Genomic DNA, 5,995 nt, shown 5'->3' with positions numbered 1-5,995 from the left:
GCTTGCTAGAAAATGCATGTCCAGTTCCCTATGTGTTAGAGGGGTTGTGCTAGATGCTGTGGAGACAGATGTGAATATGTTGCTCCTGCTCTGAAAAAGCATGTTATTCGCCCATGCACTCTGAGCATTCTCCGAGTTCTGCCACACCTCTATGGAGCATGTGAGACTGGTTCCTGTACTAAACCCTTTGCCACCGGAATAGTATAAATGGCCTTCATTTTCCTCTAAAAAAAATACCAATTTCCCCCTCCCCATTCCATGTAGTTATTAATCATTCAAGCTTTACTGTTCAAAGGAAAACATTTATTTATTGGCTCAGCTAGCACTGAAGCAATATACTGATATGATTATATTTTGGTAACCATTGTCAATATTGCTGGAGGCATAATTTGCTCTAATATGCTAAAATTTGTGAGATCATTGGCTTTCACTAGGGTTTCTCTGGCAAAATCTGTTAGATTTTAGAAAAGATCTTTTAGAACATAGGAAGGGTTTAATAGCTTGACCATATGATGAAATGGCCTTTCTTTGTCAAGCATAGTTGGTTTCATTTATGACTCAATGTGAAAAGACAGGTTCCTAAAGAAAGTTTCCACATTTTCATACTGTTCATTAATATTTTAACTTGATTTTACTTAGTGCCCAAATGAATAACCCATGAAAAGATTTGATTTTATGCCATTAATTGTCGCAGATTTTAAACCCTCTGTAAGGGTCGACAGATGCAGCGTTATTATGAATCATAAGGAATCTTAGCAAGATGCATTCCCATTGTCACTGAACTAGTTAAAGCCAGTGAGGCAGGACTAAATTGTTGTGACATTTTCCCAGCCCCACTATTACCTGTCAAATAGGAAAAAAATTCAAAGCATCAGGACAAGCTTACGTATTGATGGGTTCACTCTTGTTATTAATTGAAGTAAATGGATAAGCTTGTCCATCAACAGTAACAAACACATCTGCTCATTGTTTAAAGAAAAATCTCCTTAACCTTCTTTTTCTTACAGGTCCCTGCGATTTGAAAAATGCTTCGTTCTGTATTCAAGAACCATGATGACTATTGTGTTTGTTCTACCTTTTTTTTTAAATTTGCTGACAAAGTGAAATATGGAATACTGTATTCACTTATTTCATGTTTGGCTCACAATGGATTGAGTTATATAAAGTAGGACATGGACAAATTACAAAAACCAGAACAAGCAGGGTCCCTAATAGTCTTATATAACTGCAAACACTCTACATCTGCTTTAATCCATCATCGTCTTTGCTTTTCAAATAAAATAGTGTGTGTTTTTCTCTCTCTGATTTTTAAGTACAAAGAGAAAGTTTTCCATCCTGTAAAACTGAAAAACTTATGATGAGAAAGTACCTCAAAAAGTGCAAAGGAGGAAATCTCTTTGGTTATTTCATTTGTGTGATTCTATTAACTCCAAGAGTACATTGCAAGCTGTGATAAAGCAAAGCTATTCTAAATCTTCTTTTGCTTGAACAAGGTGTTTGTGACAATATTTCATTGGCATGGAAATAAAGAATTCATCCCAATGCCATGCAATGTGCTAGAGTTCTCTTCCAAGTTGGTAATAGAATGACTAATGGCAATGTAGTAAAAAAAAAAAAAAAAAAAAAAAAAGAAAAGAAAAGAAAGAAAGAAGAAGCAAAATGATTTAATTATCTTCATCTATGACTTTTAGCTTTATCAAGAATATGTTTATTAGAGCTGGAATAAAGAATGCATCCAACATCATGGCTTCCTGTTTTCCTTATTGAAATCCTATTAATAAAGACAACTGTTTTTCTCCTGCCTCCTGAATATATTTACAATTTCTATTGAAGGGTAGAAATAATAATTCTGAAGTGTCTCAATGTTTGCAAAATATTTGATACTAAACATTATGAAGCCACAGAAAGTGAAAAAGCAATTAAGATTCTCTAATACAACATGTCTTTTTTCGTATAAGAAAATAAGACAGCTGAAAAAAAGTAGTCACCCTCTAGAGAGATGGGGGAAATTGTACATACAGAAATGAAAGCAAGAATAGTTTAGAGGTTTCTCCATATGTTTTTAGGCATTATATTATTGAAGAGTTCTTCCAAGTTCAAATAAACTCAAAGTTCTATTGATGCTTGAATACTAATGAAGAGGGCAGAGATAGCAAATTAAATCTTGTCTTTTTCCATTCCATCTTCCCTTTTGTGTAATCTATATTGGCAGTTTTTCCTCTTCCAGAAGAGTCTCCCAAGCTTCCCAAGGCTCTGCCTGAAACTCCAGATTGTGGCCTTTGTAAATAACGTACATAAAGAAGGGCTGTTAAACTCTTGTTGAGTTATTTTTGTTTTGCACTTTGCACCTTCAGTGCATATGAGAACTACTCCCACACCATTTCCTGACAAACCAAATCTTGCTGTGAAGGCTGAAAACGTTAGTCAGTGGCACCCTATTTTTAGGACTTGTAATGAAGAGAAAATGTAGTGTTATAACACCCATCCAAATGCTGGCACCCCGGTAGACAACTGCAGAATTTTAAGAGCTAATGTAGACAATTTATACAAAAAGGACCAAATTATGACCAATTCTGCAAATAAACAGACAACAGATCACTAGGAGTTGTGACGGGATATAGCTGCGGTTTGGAAACGCCAAACGTGGTGCTATTGAAGATCACAGATGGCCTAGAATAGCAACAGCAGTTACCCAGGAACTGGACTTGGAAGCATACTAATTTTAGTATTAAAAGAGGAGAGTAGAAATAAGTCCAAAAATCTTTTCTGCTACTGCTTTGGAAATCACATTTTAAATGCCTTTACTTTCCAAATAATAATAGCTAACTTTTTATTGAGTGATACTGTATGTCAGGCACTGTCGTACATGCTTTGTATATATTAGCTCATTTAGTCTTTATGGCAGCCTTATGAAGAAGGGAATATTATTGTTTTTGTTTTACTGTTAAGTAAACTCAGGTATAGAGGGGCTAACTTGGCCAAGGCTCACAGCTTGTAAAGAGCAAAAATCCAGACCCAGGTCATTCAACTCCACGACTTGCTTTCTTCTGACCTACCCACTGCCATGGAGATCACTTTCTTAAGCTTCCTTTCACTTTCTTGGTGTATTCATGTCTTTTCCTATTACTTCTTTGCCCACATCCAGAGGAGAAGCCATGTGTAGAACAAAAGGGGGAAACTGGAACATGTCCCAGTTACAAAGTGTCAAAGGCTGGTAGAATTTCTACAAATTTAGGCATGTCGTGCTTGGTGATGCAGAATACGCTACCAATGGGCTGCAAGCATGGTTTTTATCTTGTTGAATCCGTGCTGGCCAGTCTCTAACCCTTAGCCTTTTAAACTCAACCACTGGAGATCGTTGGGATTCTAGATCTAATCAGATTCTGACATTCCTTCTCTTTCTTCCCATAGATTTGCTGCGAGACTAAAGAAGCTCAAGCTTCAGGGTCCTTAAGTAACATGGGCCCTTCTAAGCCCATGGGAAGGAGTCTAATAATGGGTTCACGGGATCACACCTTTTACTTACAATTGGTTGAGACCACTGTCTCTTCCAATGCCACTCAATACTTTCCCAGTGTCATTGAGTGGCATTGGAGAGGTCCCTGGACCACTTTAGGAATCGTTTTAAGGCCAATCTGAGTTGGGAATGTATTTAGTTTGGATAGAGTACAATTATATTTAGATGGTTTGGTGCCATTCCTATGTTATTATTGCTAGCTGTGCAAGTAGGAAAAGCTTCCGGTGATATTCTAACCACCGCCTGCATTGACTCAGTGGATTTCATAATCAAAGTGCAGGACCTGAGGCTGTATCTCCACACGAATGTGCACCACAGCACCCAGCACCAGCAGTGTGCGGCTAGTAGAGCAAGTGCACAGAAGCAGAAGCTAGACCATTCATCTGAATTTTGTGATGTTTGTGGTACTTGCAAGCTTTTTTTCCATTTATAATTTGTTGTGGTTTATTGTCTAGATATAGATTCACCTTCACACCTAAGAAATTTATTCAAAACTTTATATTCTTTTCCTTAAAGATTCCTCCCAAGCAATTGTGCAAATTCAGCTCTATTAAAACCTAGATATGCCCTTGCTCACAATAGACTGATGAATAAACCCAGAAAAACAAATTGTCAACTTACAACGCTAAACATAAATGCCAAGTGAAGACTTACTTGATCTGTCTAGTATATTTTCTTCCATCTAGGCATAGTATATTCCTCAGGTTCTTGGAAACAAGGAATAAAGTAGTTGAGAGATACTTATTTGATTTAAATGTTTAACAGCTGCAGGTTCTGCTGGTTTAATGCAGTGGTTCTTAGAGCGTGGTTGTGGGAACAGAAGCATCAATCAACACCACCTAGAAACTGTTGAAAACGGAAATTCTCAAGCGTCACTCCAGACCCACAGAATCAAGAATTCTACTGGTGGAGTCCAGAGTTCTGTGTTTTAAGCACCCTTCTATGTGATTTGGACGTAGGCTATGTTTTGAGAAACATTGGTCTAACACATATGTTTTCATAATCGTGAAAATGAAGATCAGACTGGCAGGCTAATCTTCCTAGAAAAGATTTATCTGGACGTTGTCAATATTTGTTTATCTGAGTCTAGATTTTCTGTGTTTTCATTGAAGATTTTCTCCTCTCCTTTTTGGTATCAAATCTTACATGCACACGTTGATTTTGAATATTTCTGCTGCAATCTGTTAGGTTAAGGCCCCGTCTAATTGTCAGAAGGCAACCCATTTCCCTCATTTTCAGACTCTACCCCATTGTTTCCATAGAGAGTAGACTTCCAATGTTTGAGAGGAATATAATCAGAGGTATCTGTAAATCCCCACATAGCCCTCTAACACAAAGCACTCATGAAACAATCAATTGTACCATGACTATAACTTTTCACCTGAGTTGCTCCTTAGTGACCTGGGATTTGTAGAACAGGAGCATAAGCCTGACTGAATCATGAAGTTTGCTACTTTACTACAAATCAGAATAGTTGGGCTATGTCTCTTAATTCTCCTTCAATATGTATAACTGTGAAAGCCTTCTATTCTCAAATAGTCAGATTTCATCTGTGATAAACGCCTTTTCTTACCTAAAACATTTCTTGTCTACAAACAGTTTTAGCTGTTTAAACTCCACAATATGAAAGTAAACATGCATCTTGAAAACCTCAAAATAACATTTGGGTCAGTAGTCATACTAAGCCTGTTGCTTTATGTAAATTTTGAAGGGGTACCTAACATTTGATGCAATTCCATTTTCTGCCAAAAGTCATATACTGTTTCATACATACTTATACCATAAGTTAACCATTTCTTCAGTTTTCAAAAAATGTTCGCAGGTTACTTCATAATCAATTTTCACACTGATTGAAACCGATTTTTTCCTAATACAAGGAACCCACTGAGGTTAAGGCAATTGAATGACACATTTATAATGTCGCTGAAAACTACAAAGGCAGAAGGCACTCTATTGGTATTATCAAGCTGCAGGAGATTTGTAAGCAGCCAGATTTTCTATTTCTTCATGATTCAATCTTCATAGGTAGCAAGCATCTGGGAATATATCCATTTCTTCTAGTTTATGAAATTTGTTGGTATATAATTGTTCAAATTAGACTCTTAGGATCCTTTTTATTTCTCTGGTATCAGGTGGAATGTCCTTGTTCCCCCATATTTTGGATCTAATCCTCCAGCCCAGAACTGGGTCTGACTGAGAAGGACTGAAAACCTATCTTAAAGATATCGTAAGGGATGCATGGACCATTAGGGAGGAGAGAATCAGAAGGCATGAGGAAAAATGTGTTAAAAGTGGGAGAGCTTTTATCCTTTAAGAGTGATGGCAACTGGGTCATTAATGGTGAATGGGGAAAGGTTGAAGAAGTTAAGAAAATAACTGCAGGACTTCATCATCATGTGACCTATGCAATTGGAATATAGCTCTTGAGTGTTGAGTAAGGCTGCACTTTCTTTCTTTCATAAGAAGGGGAACAGCGAG

General features: G+C 37.0%; 1 annotated feature.

Moving 5' to 3' along the window:
* Positions 2,306-2,506: a silencer, noted in NCBI's record as "peak7043 fragment used in MPRA reporter construct". NCBI's record gives its function as "represses an SCP1 promoter by STARR-seq MPRAs in K562 erythroleukemia cells {active_cell/tissue: K562}" and the evidence as "EXISTENCE:reporter gene assay evidence [ECO:0000049][PMID:32103011]".

The sequence above is a fragment of the Homo sapiens genome, chromosome 8, assembly GCF_000001405.40.
Source record: "Homo sapiens chromosome 8, GRCh38.p14 Primary Assembly".
Taxonomy (NCBI): Eukaryota; Metazoa; Chordata; class Mammalia; order Primates; family Hominidae; genus Homo; species Homo sapiens.
This window is presented reverse-complemented; position numbering and strand designations above follow the sequence as displayed.